The 18,420-nt window shown below is 39.0% G+C and overlaps 1 annotated feature.

Moving 5' to 3' along the window:
- Positions 12,899 to 14,098: an enhancer, noted in NCBI's record as "MED14-independent group 3 enhancer chr14:39401304-39402503 (GRCh37/hg19 assembly coordinates)". NCBI's record gives its function as "activates an origin of replication core promoter dependent on BRD2, BRD4, P300/CBP and CDK7 cofactors, and independent of MED14, by STARR-seq in HCT116 cells {active_cell/tissue: HCT116}" and the evidence as "EXISTENCE:reporter gene assay evidence [ECO:0000049][PMID:35650434]".

An 18,420-nucleotide genomic window follows, 5' to 3' on the forward strand; every position in this document is an offset into this window, starting at 1 on the left:
TTCTCCTCACCTGCTCTTCTTTTCCCAAATTAATGAGCTTTCCTGGAGATGTTTAATCTCAGAAGTTCATCCTACAGTATGCAAGATTAGTCACTGCAAGGTAATGTTACATTTCATATCTGAGGTCAGAATAGTATTATTTGGAGCTGTTGCAAAATTTAGAAGATGAACTGATTTAGTATTATTTTTAAGATTAGAATCAAACAGAAAAATCTTTGCTTCGGACTGAATTAAGAAACAATATACAAACTAGCAATATGACAACATCAAACCAATGTATCACTATATCATTTTAATTATGTAAGAAATAAAACAGCTAATGTTTGTTTACTGTTTCATATGTGCCAGGGATAATTCTAAATGCATTATGTCTATCATCTCATTTAATCCTTAGAATATGGATGAGGAAATGAAAGCCCAGAAAAGTTGCCATGTCACACAGCTAGTGGGTAACAGAATCAAGATTTGAAACCAAACTGTCAATGTTGAACCCATACCACCTCGTGGTTCTCATTAGCTGCAGTCAAAGACACTCTGGCTGGAAAATCCAGGGGCAGTGAGGACATGGAGTGTGTGGAAGCAGGCTTCCTGTGCTACTGGCAGGACTGTCAGCTAGTACAAGCTTTCCAAGGGAAATCTGGCATTCTGTTTCAAAAGCCTTACCATTTATTCTGCAGAAATTGAACAAGTGTCAAAATATGTCTTCTGTAAGGTCAACTGAGGAAATGTAAACAATAACAAAAAAATTAAAATGACCTACTGTTCAACACAGGTGATTTGGTAAATAAACGGTGATACATCATAGAATGAGGTTATTGCACAGCCATTAAAATTATGATTTAGCTGTGTAAAGACAAAAAAGGTATAGACACAGCTCAGTGAAAATTCATGTATAAAACAGAATCTAAAATGTGTTATTGTTTATAAAAATGTACACATAACATTTATATATATATACTCATTTTTAAAAGCTCAGAAGTATGTAGACTAAAATGAAATCAAAAACGTATTTCTGCATAGTTATATTAACAGTTGTTTTTCCATTGTAATTACCTGTATTTTTTCACTTGTCTACATTAAGCATGTATTATTTTAGAGAAAAATACAAGTTTAATTCCTATTTTTAATGATAGATTTAAAAATAATGACTAATAAGATACATACTATCTATTAAATAAGAAAAGAATAATTCGAAACAGAATAACGTGATCTCATCTTTGTAAAATCTGTACAGTTTATTTTAATAGTATAGTATATTATAAAAGTACACTTTTTGTATTTAAATATATTACATTATAAAAATGCTGGTAAGTTCATCCTTATCTCCAAATAGTAAAGGATGGATTTTATTTTACTTCATTTTGCTTATCTATATTTTTTATTGTATACTGCTTTTATAATTAAAATGTGTTAATTTTAAATAATCTATTATTAGTAATGAATATTGATGAGTTGTATAAAAAAGAGAGTTCAAAAATTACATAACCACAGCAAAAAAAAAGTACTAGCATTCAAAATGGCTTAAAGAAATATAAGTTGTTAATTCTCACCAGCACTCAGAGACTTGTCCACCACAGTTCCCAGGGAAGATTAAAATTAAAGCACTTAACATAACTTCAAAATATGAGGATCCCAGCAAGCAACCCTGAAATGCTCTTAGTATAGCAGACACAGGGAAAGCCATCAATGTGTTTCTTTCTGGAAGGTTTATTTTAATGACAAATGGAAACATTATAACTTACATTGTATCTTTCTTATCGTGTGAAAGGAATTAATACAATAATAGCCTTAGTACTTATTAAATTATACCCTGAAATTTCTCCATAATATAAAAGTTAACTTTTCAATCAAATGTGTACAAATTGGATATTGTACATTTGTGTAATCATAATTCTATGTTGTACATGCAAGAAAATAGTCAAAATAGGGAGGCACAACATGTCAAAATATTCTAATTTAATGCCAGTGTAGCTCAATATGTTCTTTCCAGTAGCTCTGAACTAAATTGATGAACAGCAGGCTAAATGAGGAAAAAGAAGAGCTAAATGAGGAAAAAGAAGAGCTAAATGCATGCTGAACAAAGCTTATAAAAGGAAAACAATTTGCTGTCAAATAGCAAGAAAGGATGTGCTATTTAAGGTTACATCTCAGACAAGGATCACTAATAAAGAACCAATCATTTTGACAACCTTAGGGCAATTACATTATTTTTAAAAAGATAATCATATGAGGTAATCAAAAAATATTTAACAATGATAATTAGAAATGTAGAATTACTTGAGTCTCATTTTATTCTAATAAAATATATGGCAAATCTGTCTACCCTTAGGAATGAGAAATAGAATGGCAAACAATGAAAGTATTTAAAATGGTGAGGGAAGAGACAATCCTAAGAGGAAGACCCACAAAAACCATGGTGACTCAATTTTATACAGGCTAGATGTGATCAATACTCTTCCCAATCATTTGATTAAATGATTAAAGGGGCAGGGCAGTTCCAAGATGGCCGAATAGGAACAGCTCCATTCTACAGCTCCCAGCATGAGCGACACAGAAGCATTTCCAAGTGAGGTACCGGGTTCATCTCACTGGGGCTTGTCGGACAGTGGGGGCAGGACAGTGGGTGCAGCGCCCAAGTGTGAGCCGAAGCAGGGCAAGGCATCGCCTCACCCGGGAAGTGCAAGGGATCAGGGAATTCCGTTTCCTAGCCAAGGAAAGCAATGACGGACAGCACCTGGAAAATCAGGTCACTCCCACACTAATACTGTGCTTTTCCAAGGGTCTTAGCAAACGGCACACCAGGAGATTATATCCCGTGCCTGGTTCGGAGGGGCCCATGCCCACGGAGCCTCGCTCATTGCTAGCACAGCAGTCTGAGATCAATCTGCAAGGAGGCAGCGAGGCTGGGCGAGGGGTGCCCGCCATTGCTGAGGCATGAGTAGGTAAACAAAGTGGCCAGGAAGCTCGAACTGGGTGGAGCCCACTGCAGCTCAAGGAGGCCTGCCTGCCTCTGTAGACTCCACCACTGGGGGCAGGGCATAGCTGAACAAAAGGAAGCAGAAACCTCTGCAGACTTAAATGTCCCTGTCTGACAGCTTTGAAGTGAGTAGTGGTTCTCCCAGCATGGAGTTTGAGATCTGAGAACAGACAGACTGCCTCCTCAAGTGGGTCCCTGACCCCCGAGTAGCCTAACTAGGAGGCATCCTCCAGTAGGGGCAGACTGACACCTCACACGGCCAGGTATCCCTCTGAGACGAAGTTGCCAGAGGAACGATAAGGCAGCAACATTTGCTGTTCAGTAACATTCGCTGTTCTGCAGCCTCTGCGGCTGATACCCAGGCAAACAGGGTCTGGAGTGGACTTCCAGCAAACTCCAACAGACCTACAGCTGAGGGTCCTGTCTGTTAGAAGGAAAACTAACAAACAGAAAGGACATCCACACCAAAACTCCATCTGTACGTCACCATCATCAAAGACCAAAGGTAGATAAAACCACAAAGATGGGGAAAAAAACAAAGCAGAAAAGCTGAAAATTCTAAAAATCAGAGCGCCCCTCCCCCTCCAAAGCTACGCAGCTCCTCGCCAGCAATGGAACAAAGCTGAATGGAGAATGACTTTGACGAGTTGAGAGAAGAAGGCTTCAGACAATCAAACTTCTCTGAGCTAAAGGAGGAAGTTCAAACCCATCGCAAAGAAGCTAAAAACCTTGAAAAAAGATTAGACGAATGGCTAACTAGAATAACCAATGCAGAGAAGTCCTTAAAGGACCTGATACAGCTGAAAAACATGGCACGAGAACTACGTGACACAGCACAAGCTTCAGTAGCTGATTTGATCAACTGGAAAAAAGGGTATCGGTGATTGAAGATCAAATGCATGAAATGAAGTGAGAAGAGAAGTTTAGAGAAAAAAGAGTAAAACGAAACAAACAAAGCCTCCAAGAAATATGGGACTATGTGAAAAGACCAAATCTATGTCTGATTGGTGTACCTGAAAGTGACAGGGAGAATGGAACCAAGTTGGAAAACACTCTGCAGGATATTATCTAGGAGAACTTCCCCAATCTAGCAAGGCAGGCCAACATTCAAACTCAGGAAATACAGAGAATGCCACAGAGATACTCCTCGAGAAGAGCAACTCCAAGACACACAATTGTCAGATTCACCAAAGTTGAAATGAAGGAAAAACTGTTAAGGGCAGCCAGAGAGAAAGGTCAGGTTACCCACAAAGGGAAGCCCATTAGACTAATAGCGGATCTCTCGGCAGAAACTCTACAAGCCAGAAGAGAGTGGGGGCCAATATTCAACATTCTTAAAGAAAATAATTTTCAACCCAGAATTTCATATCCAGCCAAACTAAGCTTCATAAGTGAAGGAGAAATAAAATCCTTTACAGACAAGCAAATGCTGAGAGATTTTGTCACCACCAGACCTGCCCTACAAGAGCTCCTGAAGGAAGCACTAAACATGGAAAGGAACAACCAGTAGCAGCCACTGCAAAACCATGCCAAATTGTAAAGACCATCGATGCTAGGAAGAAACTGCATCAACTAACAAGCAAAATAACCAGCTAACATCATAATGACAGGACCAAATACACATAACAATATTAACCTTAAATGTAAATAGGCTAAATGCATCAATTAAAAGACACAGACTGGCAAATTGGATAAAGAGTCAAGACCCATCAGTGTGCTATATTCAGGAGACCCATCTCATGTTCAGAGACACACATAGGCTCAAAATAAAGGGATGGAGGAAGATTTTCCAAGCAAATGGAAAACAAAAAAAGGCAGGGGTTGCAATCCTAGTCTCTGATAAAACAGACTTTAAACCAACAAAGATCAAAAGAGACAAAGAAGGCCATTACATAATGGTAAAGGGATCAATTCAACAAGAAGAGCTAACTATCCTAAATATATATGCACCCAATAGAGGAGCACCCAGATTCATAAAGCAAGTTCTTAGAGGCCTACAAAGGGACTTAGACTCCCACACAATAATAATGGGAGACTTTAACACCCCACTGTCAACATTAGACAGATCAACGAGACAGAAAGTTAACAAGGATATCCAGGAATTGAACTCAGCTCGGCATCAAGCAGACCTAATAGACATCTACAGAACTCTCCACCCCAAATCAACAGAATATACATTCTTCTCACCACCTCATCACACTTACTCCAACATTGACCACATAGTTGGAAGTAAAGCTCTCCTCAGCAAATGTAAAAGAATAGAAATTATAACAAACTATCTCTCAGACCACAGTGCAATCAAACTAGAACTCAGGATTAAGAAACTCACTCAAAACTGCTCAACTACATGGAAACTGAACAACCTGCTCCTGAATGACTACTGGGTACATAAGGAAATGAAGTCAGAAATAAAGATGTTCTTTGAAACCAATGAGAACAAAGACAGAACATACCAGAATCTCTGGGACACATTCAAAGCAGTGTGTAGAGGGAAATTTATAGCACTAAATACCCACAAGAGAAAGCAGGAAAGATCCAAAATTGACACCCTAACATCACAATTAAAAGAACTAGAAAAGCAAAAGCAAACACATTCAAAAGCTAGCAAAAGGCAAGAAATAACTAAGATCAGAGGAGAACTATAGGACATAGAGACACAAAAAACTCGAAAAAATCAATGAATCCAGGAGCTGGTTTTTTGAAAAGATCAACAAAATTGATACACTGCTTGCAAGACTAATAAAGAAGAAAAGAGAGAAGAATCAAATAGACACAATAAAAAATGATAAAGGGGAGATCACTACCTATCCCACAGAAATACAAACTACCATCAGAGAATACTATGAACACCTCTATGCAAATAAACTAGAAAATCTAGAGAAATGGATAAACTCGTGGACACATACACCCTCCCAAGACTAAACCAGGAAGAAGTTGAATCCCTGAATAGACCAATAACAGGCTCTGAAATTGAGGCAATAATTAATAGCCTACCAACCAAAAAAAGTCCAGGACCAGATGGATTCACAGCCGAATTCTACCAGAGGTACAAGCAGGAGGTGGTACCATTCCTTCTGAAAGTATTCCAATCAATAGAAAAAGAGGGAATCCTCCCTAACTCATTTTATGAGGCCAGCATCATGCTGATACCAAAGCCTGGCAGAGACCCAACAAAAAAAGAGAATTTTAGACCAACATGCCTGATGAACATTGATGCAAAAATCCTGAATAAAATACCGGCAAACCAAATCCAGCAGCACATCAAAAAGCTTATCCACCATGACCAAGTGGGCTTCATCCCTGGGATGCAAGGCTGGTTCAACATATGCAAATCAATAAACATAATCTAGCATATAAACAGAACCAAAGACAAAAACCACACGATTATCTCAATAGATGCAGAAAAGGCCTTTGACAAAATTCAACAACCTTCATGCTAAAAACTCTCAATAAATTAGGTATTGAAGGGACATATCTCAACATAATAAGAGCTATTTATGACAAACCCACAGCCAATATCATACTGAATGGGCAAAAACTGGAAGCATTCCCTTTGAAAACTGGCACAAGAGAGGGATGCCCTCTCTCACCACTCCTATTCAACACAGTGTTGGAAATTCTGGCCAGGGCAATGAGGCAGGAGAAAGAAATAAAGGATATTCAATTAGGAAAAGAGGAAGTCAAATTGTCCCTGTTTGCAGATGACATGATTGTATATTTAGAAAACCCCAATGTCACAGCCCAAAATCTCCTTAAGCTGATAAGCAACTTCAGCAAAGTCTCAGGATACAAAATCAATGTACAAAAATCACAAGCTTTCTTATACACCAATAACAGACAAACAGAGGCCAAATCATGAGTGAACTCCCATTCACTTTTGCTTCAAAGAGAATAGAATACCTAGGAATCCAACTTACAAGGGATGTGAAGGACCTCTTCAAGGAGAACTACAAACCACTGCTCAATGTAATAAAAGAGGATACAAACAAATGGAAGAACATTCCATGCTCATGGGTAGGAAGAATCAATATCGTGAAAATGGCCATACTGCCCAAGGTAATTTATAGATTCATTAATTTATAGATTCAATGCCATCCCCATCAAGCTACCAATGACTTTCTTCACAGAATTGGAAAAAACTACTTTAAAGTTCATATGGAACCAAAAAAGGGCCCGCATTGCCAAGACAATCCTAAGCCAAAAGAACAAAGCTGGAGGCATCACGCTACCTGACTTCAAACTATACTACAAAGCCATAGTAACCAAAAGAGCATGGTACTGGTACCAAAACAGAGATATAGACCAATGGAACAGAACAGAGCCCTCAGAAATAGTACCACACATCTACAACCATCTGATCTTTGACAAACCTGACAAAAACAAGAAATGGGGAAACGATTCCCTATTTAATAAATGGTGCTGGGAAAACTGGCTAGCCATATGTAAAAAACTGAAACTGGATCCCTTCCTTACACCTTATACAAAAATTAATTCAAGATGGATTAAAGACTTAAATGTTAGACCTAAAACCATAAAAACCCTAGAAGAAAACCCAGGCAATACCATTCAGGACATAGGCATGGGCAAGGACTTCATGTCTAAAACACCAAAAGCAATGGCAACAAAAGCCAAAATTGACAAATGGGATCTAATTAAACTAAAGATCTTCTACCCAGCAAAAGAAACTACCATCAGAGTGAACAGGCAACCTACAGAATGGGAGAAAATTTTTGCAATCTACTCATCTGACAAAGGGCTAATATCCAGAATCTACAAAGAACTCAAACAAATTTACAAGAAAAAAAAACAAACAACCCTATCAAAAAGTGGGCAAAGGATATAAACAGACACTTCTCAAAAGAAGACATTTATGCAGCCAAAAGACACATGAAAAAATGTTAATCATCACTGGCCATCAGAGAAATGCAAATCAAAACCACAATGAGATACCATCTCACACCAGTTAGAATGGTGATCATTAAAAAGTCAGGAAACAACAGATGCTGGAGAGGATGTGGAGAAATAGGCACACTTTTACACTGTTGGTAGGACTGTAAACTAGTTCAACCATCGTGGAAGACAGTGTGGCAATTCCTCAAGGATCTAGAACTAGAAATACCATTTGACCCAGCCATCCCATTACTGGGTATATACCCAAAGGATTATAAATCATGCTGCTATAAAGACACATGCACATGTATGTTTATTGTGGCACTATTCACAATAGCAAAGACTTGGAACCAAGCCAAATGTCCATCAGTTATAGATGGGACTAAGAAAATGTGGCACATATACACCATGGAATACTATGCAGCCATAAAAAAGATGAGTTCATGTCCATTGTAGGGACATGGATGAAGCTGGAAACCATCACTCTCAGCAAACTATCATAAGGACAAAAAACCAAACACCGCATATTCTCACTCATAGGTGGGAATTGAACAATGAGAACACTTGGACACAGGAAGGGGAACATCACACACCGGGGCCTGTTGTGGGGTGGGCGGAGGGGGGAGGGATAGCATTAGGAGATATACCTAATGTAAATGACGAGTTAATGTGTGCAGCACACCAACATGGCTCATGTATACATATGTAACAAACCTGCACGTTGTGCACATGTACCCTAGAACTTAAAGTATAATTTAAAAAATGATTAAAGGGCTAAATATGCCCAATAATAAAAGCTTTACTTGCTGTATTAGTCTGCTTTCACACTGCTATAAAGAACTGCTCCAGACTGGGTAATTTATAAAGGAAAAAGGTTTAATTGACTCACAGTTCCTCATGGCTGGGGAGGCCTCAAAAAACAATCATGGCAGATGGCAAAGGGAGAAAGCAAGGCCCTTCTTCACATGGTGGCAGGAGAGAGAAGAACTCACAAGAGCAGGGATAACTGCCTTATAAGCCATCAGATCTCATGAGAACTCACTCACTATCACAAGAACAGCATGGGGGAAACTGCACTTCCCACCAGGTCTCTCCCTAAACAACTGGGGATTACAATTCTAGATAAGATTTGGGTGCGGACGCAAAGCCTACCTATATCACTTGCCTAAGATTAATGTGCACTCTTACCAGAAAACAGCCCGTTTCCAAAGTAATGAGTAAGTGGAACCAACAGAGGCTAGATTGAGCAACATTTGGTTGCCTCACAAGCAAAGAAGAGAAATATTTTAGGACAAGCCTTCATGTTATATGGTTTCAAGGCAGACGCTACCATTTTACCCAAGAAAAGCAGGGCTATGGTACTGCACAAGCCCAGAAGCACAAGTCACATAGAACACAGTGATGCCTGGAGCAAAATGGTGACTTCATACCCTGGGATGCAAGGGAAGAGCTGACAAGACAAAGCTAATAGAAAATAAATGCAGTAAAAGGTAACAATTTTAATGTCTTTACCTACAAAGGAATGTACTTTCTAATGACCAGGCTTCATATCTCAATTCATAACATTGTTTAAGTACACAAGAAAGACTATGTGTGTGAAAAGTGTATTGTATTTTTTTCATATAAATTTTCAGCTGACACGCTGTTTCATTAGCTAACTTCACCATAGAAACGCAACTGTGTTAAAAGGCAATCACAGGGTGGATACAGACACGGGGCTGGTTCTACCCTTGGACAGCCAGCCACAAGATGAAGGTTGAAGGACAACAACAATTCAACCCCAAGATCCCTCTTTAATATTTCCACCATTAGAATCCATGGAATTAAATTATACTACCTCTTAGAGACCCATGTTAAATGCAACTAGGAGACACCTGAGCAATTGCTCAACTAGGAGACACTTGAGATTGCACTCAGCTGCAAGTAACAGATGCCTCACTCACCTGACAGGAATTTACTTATTTCATGCCAGGAGTCTTGCAGGAATAGCTACAGAGCTGGTATGTCACTGAGGTCCCAGATTCTTCTGTATTTTTGCTTTGCCTTTCTTGGTGTCTGACTTTCTCCCTTAAGGCCCCAGAACGGCCACTACAAGTTCTATCTGCTATTACAAAGCTGAATAACAACAACAAAAAGTAGCCTGGCAATTGCAGACACCTGACCGTCTTTTAAAAGCCCTATCTCAAGCCGAGGCAGTGGCTCACACCTGTAATCCCAATATTTTGAAAGTCCAAGGAGGGAGGATCTCTTTTGGCTAGGAGTTTGTGACCAGCCTGGGCAACATAGCAAGACCCTCATCTCAACTTAAAAACAAAATTTTAAACTCCCCTCTCCCATTGTTCCCAGGCAAGAGTAAGACTAACTTTTGATGCATATGATTACTCTATTAATTTTAGTTGTAGTCTAAGCATATATTGTTCCTCTATGGTAGCAATGACAAACTGCCAAAAATCATACATCCAGGAGGTGACAAAGCTGGATTTAAACCCAGATTGTCTGAGTCAAGCAGGAGGTTGAGACTCAAATGTTTATATTCCCTTTCTCAGATGAGCTGTGGCAGTAGGCCAAAGCTTTAGCAAAACATCTATTTCTCTCCCAAAAGCTGAGAATAATTTCAACTAAACTGAAAGAAAAGGGGCAATAATGCAAATTCAAAACAGACCCTTTGGTTACAAAAACCATTTTCTAGATCCAGGGATCCTCAGCCACAGGGCTTTAAAAGATTTTTGTAAATGTTAGTTGCTAAAAGCTTTTGTATGAACTATTATATTTTCCCATAGATTAAACATGAACAAATATAAAACATCATCATCAACTTAATTTAAAATACTGCATTCTCTTCACAATGTATCCACTGCTATAGAAAGGACCCTGTTTGATCACCACACCAAGAGCGTAAATACCATTCATGCTAAACTGCATTTTTCATATTAAGTAAATACCTGCTTATAACGTGATAGAAGCAATAGCAAAACAAAGAATACAAATAATGAGAGTTATTAGTGACTATTTCACCATAAACTAGGTTGAAGAACATAGTACTACAATCAAGTCTTCCTCATAAAGATAAAAAATATCCTTTACTAAGTTCGAACAACACACCAACACACAAAAACTACACAGACTTGGTGACAGAGCAGGATTGTTGACATTCCCTTAAGTCAGCAAAAACCTGCCATCACGAAGTCTCACAGGTGGCAAGATAAGTCATGACCTTCTGAAAAGTAAAAACAAGCCTAATAATTTTAAAGGTTAAAGAATAATAGGTTTGTCCTCTGTGTTTTAGGGATTTTTTGTTTTGTTTTTTAAAGCAATGGTCTATCGCTTGTGGGCCTCTTGACTAAGATCAAGTGTAAAGTAAATGGCCTATTGTTTTATGAGGCCATGGCTTGGGAAAGTTGAGACTTGGAAGTTGTGTTTTTGTTTTTGTTTTTACTTTGCCTTTTCTAAATCGAGGGGAAATTCACATAACATAAAATGAACCATTTTAAAGTGAACAATTCAGTAACATTTAGTATGTTCACAATGTGTGCAATCACTACCTCTATCTAGTTTCAGAACATTTTCGTCACTCCAAAATAAAACCCTGTACCCATTTAGCAGTTATTCCCTGTTACCCCTACCCAGGCCCTGGCAACCCCTGATCTGCTTTGTGTTTCAATGAAGAACTTACAACATATCTATTTTAATAACTTTACCCAGAAGTTTTAAAAATTTAAACCTATCCTGTAAAATGGACAGACTTACTAAATAAAATGGACAGACTAAATCAGGGAAATAGTACAATTTAGACACAGCATTTCTAATGGAATGCTTCCTCCTTTTTTTCTTCTTTTAGTATGCTTACCTACAAAATACACATTGCCATAGACTGTGGATATAAACAACTGGTCATTTCACAGTAGTGAAAGGTGTGAAAGCCCCCAGGGTCATAAAAGCACAAAGATTCTCTGTCCTTCTGTGTCTGTGCCAGTTGTCTATTATTTTATTTGGCAGATCCTGACAAGGCCACAACATAGACTTTTAAGTGATATTCCTGGAACTACTTAGCTTTACAAATGTCAAACCACTCCCCAAAACAACTGTGAGCTAAATTGTTATCCATAATATTCTGCTCCAGAAAACAGTCAAAATAAAAGCTGCTACTTTATGGCTCAATTCTCCCCAAAAGCGTATGGGAAATGGTGGTTACAATATAAAAATTTCCTTTGTTGCAGTCCCCATATACAGATCATATTGTCGTATTAGATATAAGTCCATGTGAAGGGAATGAAAAGGAATATGCATAAAAGATGTTCAATCATTTAACAGACATTTATGATGTGCCAGCTAGGAACACAAGAAGAAGGCACTTGGAAGGATATCAGAAAATAATCACAAATACTTAAATGGTGCTTACTCTGCTCCAGGCACTGTTCTAGTGTATGTGTGTGTATTTATATATATTATATACAAATATATATAAAGAGTGTGTGTTAAATTAATTAATTCATTAAATGAGCAGATATATATGCTCATTTAATTTTTATAACAATCATGCAAGAGAGCTTCTATTGTTATCATCCCCACTTCACAGAGAATAAAACTGAGACAGCATGGTCAAATGACTTGTCAGAAGTCTAATATCCAGAATCTATAACGAACATAAATAAATCAACAAGCAAAAAACAACCCCATTAAAAACTTGGCAAATGATCATGGTGGACAGGAGGCAGGACCAGATTCCAGCTCCAACTCAGGTGGACAGAGCAACGTGTGGAGCCTCGCATTGTGAATTTTATCTCCAGAATGACTACAGGAATAAATCAGGAATCCTGAGAGGACCCACAGACTCCTGAAGGAAGCGGACTGATCCTGCGGGACCCGGGAGACACTCCAAATACTGTGAGTGCCCAAACTGTGGAAGTGGGAACGGGAGATACTCTGCCGCTGAACACACACCCCAACCGGGGAAACTGAAGGTCTAGTTCACGGGAGAAGATTCCAACCTTACCTGGAGCTGAGTCCATTTAGAGAGCTGAGTGAAATACAGGGGTACAGAAAGTGGCAGGAAAGGCCCTGGGAACTTGCTGGGTCCCCAAGCAGGCCATTCCTGCCTGAAACCACAGGGATCCTTCAGGAGGGCGGCCAGAGGTGCAGGGAAAATGCCACCGGGAGAAGGAAGTCTCCAGCTGAACTTTGTAACAATTTGAACCAATCAAAAAGCCCCCTGACCAGAACTCGGGGGAGGACGCAAATCCTGCGTACAGACTCCACAGGCAGAGGAAGAACGAAAGCCCTTTTCTTTTGAGGCTGGTAGGCAGGTATCCTGGGGCAAATTCTCAGCCCTGCTTGCCCACTGCCTGCAAACAGACTTGGCACTGTTAGGGAGACATGGTGGGAATAAGACCAGCCTTTTGGATCACATGGGAGCTAGGTGAGGCCTGTGACTGCCGGCTTTCCCCTACTTCCCTGATAACCTGCATGACTCAGCAGAGGCAGCCATAATACTCCTAGGTATACAACTCCAGTAACCTGGGAACCTCACCCCATCCCCCACAGCAGCCACAGCCAGACCTGCTGAAGGAGAGTCTGAGCTCAGACATGCCTAGCCCTGCCCCCATCTCATTGGCCTTCCCTACCCACCCTGGTAGCTGAAGACAAAGGGCATATATTCTTGGGAGTTCTAGGGCCGTGCTCACTACTGGTTCCTCTCCATACTACCACAGCTGATGCTACTGGAAAGCACCAACTCCCGGCAGGAGGCCAACCAGCACAAAAATAGAGCATTAAACCACCAAAGCTAAGAACACTCACAGAATCCATTTCATGCCCTGCCACCTCCACTGGAACAGATGCTGGTATCCACAGCTGAGGGACCCATAGACGGTTCACATCACAGGACTCTGTGCAGACAACTCCCAGTACCAGCCCAGAGCCTGGTAGACTTGCTGGGTGGCTAGACCCAGAAGAGAAATAACAGTCACTACAGCTTGGCTCTCAGGAAGCCAACTCCATAGGAAAAGAGGGAGAGTACTACATCAAGGGAACACCCCATGGGACAAAATAATCTGGACAACACCCTTCAGCCCTAGACCTTTCCTCTGACAGAGCCTATCTACTCAAATGAGAAGGAACCAGAAAACCAACTCAGGTAATATAACAAAACAAGGCTCTTTAACACCCCCAAAAAATCACACTAGCTCATCAGCAATGGATCCAAACCAAGAAGAAATCCCTGGTTTACCTGAAAAACAATACAAGAAGTGAAGGGAGAAATCTTCAAGGAAATAGATAGCATAAAGAAAAAGCAATCAAACCTTTAGGAAACATTGGACACACTTATAGAAATGCAAAATGCTCTGGAAAGTCTCAGCAACAGAATTGAACAAGTAGAAGAAAGAAATTCAGAGCTCGAAGACAAGGTCTTTGAATTAACCCAATCGAACAAAGACAAAGGAAAAAGAATAAGAAAATATAAACAAAGCCTCCAAGAAGTCTTGGATTATGTTAAACTACCAAACCTAAGAATAATCAGTGTTCTTGAGAAAGAAGAGAATTCTAAAAGCTAGAAAAACATATGTGGGCAAATAATTGAGAAAAACCTCCGCAGCCTTGCTAGAGGCCCACACATTCAAATACAAGAAGCACAAAGAACACCTGGGAAATTATTGCAAAAATCATCACCTAGGCATACTGTCATCAGGTTATCTAAACTTAAGACGAAGGAAAGAATCTTAAGAGCTGTGAGACAAAAGCAACAAGGTAACCTATAAAGCAAAACCTACCAGATTAGCAGCAGATTTCTCAGCAGAAACCCTACAAGCTAAAAGGGATTGGGACCCTACCTTCAGCCTCCTCAAACAAAACAATTATCAGCCAAGAATTTTTTATCCACTGAAACTAAGCATCGCATATGATGGAAAGTACAGTCTTTTTCAGACAAACAAATGCTGACAGAATTCGCCACTACCAAGCCACCACTACAAGAACTGCTAAAAGGAGCTCTAAATATTGAAACAAATCCTGGAAACACATCAGAACAGAACCTCTTTAAAGCATAAATCTCACAGGACCCATAAAACAAAAATACAATTTACAAAGTAAAAACAGGCCAGGCACAGTGGCTCATGCCTGTAATCCCAGTACTTTGGGAGGCAGAGATGGGCAGATCACCTAATGTCATGAGTTTAAGAACCATCCTGTCCAACATGGCAAAACCCCATCTCTACCAAAGAATACAAAAATTAGCCAGGTGTGGTGGCAGGCACCTGTAATCCCAACTACTCAGGAGGGTGAGGCAGGAGAAACGATTGCGCCAAGGTGGAGGTGGAGGTTGCAGTGAGCCAAGATTGTGCCACTGCACTCCAGCCTGGGAAACAGAGCAAGACTCTGTCTCCAAACAAACAAACAAAAAAAATCAAAAGCAAAAAATGAAACACCAAGGTATACAGGCAACAAATAGCATGATAAACGCGATGGTACCTCACATCTCAATATTAACATTGAACGCAAATGGCCTAAATGCTCCACTTAAAAGATACAGAACTGCAGAATGGATAAGAATTCACCAACCAACCATCTGCTGCTTTCAAGAGACTCACCTAACACATAAGGACTCACATAAACTTAAAGTAAAGGGGTGGAAAAAGGCATTTCACGCAAATTGACACCAAAAGTGAGCAGAAGTAGCTATTCTTATATCAGACAAAACAAACTTTAAAGCAACAGCAGTTTAAAAAGACATTTTTTTAAAAAGCAGTTAAAAAGAGGGACATTATATAATGGTAAAGGAAGGACAAGGTTCCTTGTCCAACAGGAAAATATCACAATCCTAAACATACATGCACCTAACTAACACTGGAGTTCCCAAATTAATAAAACAATTACTAATATGCCTAAGAAATGAGACAGACAGCAACACAATAATAGTGGGGGACTTTAATACTCCATTGACAGCACTAGACAGGTAATCAATATAGAAAGTCAAAACAGAAACAATGGATTTTAAACTATACCTTGGAATACATGGACTTAACAGATTTATACAGAACATTCCATCCTACAACTACAAAATACACATTCTATTCAACAGCTCATGGAACTTTCTCCAAGGTAGACCATGTGATAGGCCACAAAATGAGCCTCAATAAATTTCAGAAAATTGAAGTTATATCAAGCACTCTCTCAGACCACAGTGGAATAAAACTGGAAATCAACTCCAAAAGGAATCTTCAAAACCATGCCAACACAGGGAAATTGAATAACCTGCTCCTGAATGATCACTGGGTCAAAAACAAAATCAAGATGGGAATTAAAAAATTATTTGAACTGAACAACAATAGTGATAAAACCTATCAAAATTTCTGAGATAAAGCAAAGGCATTGCTAAGAGGAAAGTTCATAGCCCTAAACACCTACATCAAAAAGACTGAAAAAACACAAACTGACATTCTAAGGTCACACCCCAAGGAACTAGAGAAACAAGAACAAACCAAACCCAAACCCAGCAGAAGAAAGGAAATAACCAGGATCAGAGCAGAATTAAATGAAATTGAAACAAAAAAAATACAAAAGATAAATGAAAAAAAAAAAGCTGGTTCTTTGAAAAGATAAATAAAATTGATAGACCATTAGCAAGATTAACCAAGAAAAGAAGGGAGAAAATCTAAACAAGTTCGATAAGAAATGAAACGGGAGTTATTACAACTGACACCACAGAAATGCAAAAGATCATTCAAGGCTACTATAAACACCTTTATGCACATAAACTAGAAATCCTAGAAAAGATGGATAAATTCCTGGAAAAACACAACCCACCTAGCTTAAATCAGGAAGAATGAGATACCCTGAACAGACCAATAACAAGCAGCAAGATTGAAAGAGTAATTTAAAAATTACCAACCAAAAAAATGTCCAGAACCAGATGGATTCACAGCAGAATACTACCAGACATTCAAAGAAGAATTTGTACCAATCCTATTGACACTATTCCACAAGATAGAGAAAGAGAAAAGTCTGGAGCATTTAGGATTTTAGCATGTATGAATCATTCTAAATCATTCTATGAAGCCAGTATCACCCTAATACCAAAACCAGGAAGGGACGTAACCAAAAAAGAAAACTATAGACCAAGATCCCTGATGAACATAGATGCTAAAATCCTTGACAAAATAGTAGCTAACCAAATCCAACAACATATCAAAAAGATAATCCACCATGATCAAGTGGGTTTCATACCAGGGATGTAAGGATGGTTTAACATATGCAAGCCAGTAAATGTGATACACCACATAAACAGAATTAAAAACAAAAATCACATGATCATCTCAATACATGCAAAAAAAGCATTCAGTGAAATCCAGCATCTCTTTATGATTAAAACTCTCAGCAAAATCGGCATACAAGGAACATAACTCAAAATAATAAAAGCCATCTATGACAAACCCACAGCCAACATAATACTGAATGAGGAAAAGTTGAAAGCATTCCCTCTGAGAACTGGAACAAAACAAAGATGCCCATTCTCACCAGTCAACATAGCACTGGAAGTTCTAGCCAGAGCAATCAGACGAGAGAAAGAAATTAAGGACATCCAAAGTAGTAAAGAGGAAGCCAAACTGTTGCTGTTTGATGACAATATGATGGTGGTATGGATGTGGTGATCAGGGAACACTTCTACACTGCTGGTGGGAAAGAAAACTAGTACAACCACTATGGAAAACAGTGTGGAGATTCCTTAAAGAACTAAAAGTAGAACTACCATTTGATCCAGCAATCCCACTACTGGGTATCTACCCAGAGGAAAAGAAGTCACTAATAGAAAAAGATACTTGCACATGCATGTTTATAGCAGCACAATTTGCAATTGCAAAATCTCAAAAACTCTAAAGACTCCTCCAGAAAGCTCCTAGAACTGATAGAAGAATTCAGCACAGTTTCTGGATACAAGATTAATATACAGAAATTGGTAGCTCTTCACCAACAGCGACCAAGCTGAGAATCAAATCAAGAACTCAACCCCTTTTACAATAGCTGCAAAAAAAAATAAAATACTTAGGAATATACCTAACAAAGCAAGCAAGAGACCTCTACAAGGAAAACTACAAAACACTGCGGAAAGAAATATAGACAACTCAAACAAATGAAAACACATCCCATGCTCATGGATGGGTAGAATCAATATTGTGAAAAAGACCATACTGCCAAAAGCAATCTACAAATTCAACACAATCCTAAAAAAAACCACCATCATTCTTCACAGAATAAGAAAAAACAATTCTAAAATTCAAATGGAATCAAAAAAAGAGCCTGCATAGCCAAAGCAAGGCTAAGCAAAAGAACAAATCTGGAGGCATCACATTACCTGATTTCAAACTATACTATAAGGCCATAGTCACCAAAACAGCATGGTACTGGTGTAAAAATATGCACATAGTCCAATGGAATAGACTAGAGAACTCAAAGATAAGCCCAAATACTTACAGCCAACTGATCTTCAACAAAGCAAGCAATAACATAAAGTGAGGAAAGGACACCCTTTTCAACAAATTGTGCTGGGATAATTGGCTAGC

Source organism: Homo sapiens, chromosome 14, assembly GCF_000001405.40.
Source record: "Homo sapiens chromosome 14, GRCh38.p14 Primary Assembly".
Taxonomy (NCBI): Eukaryota; Metazoa; Chordata; class Mammalia; order Primates; family Hominidae; genus Homo; species Homo sapiens.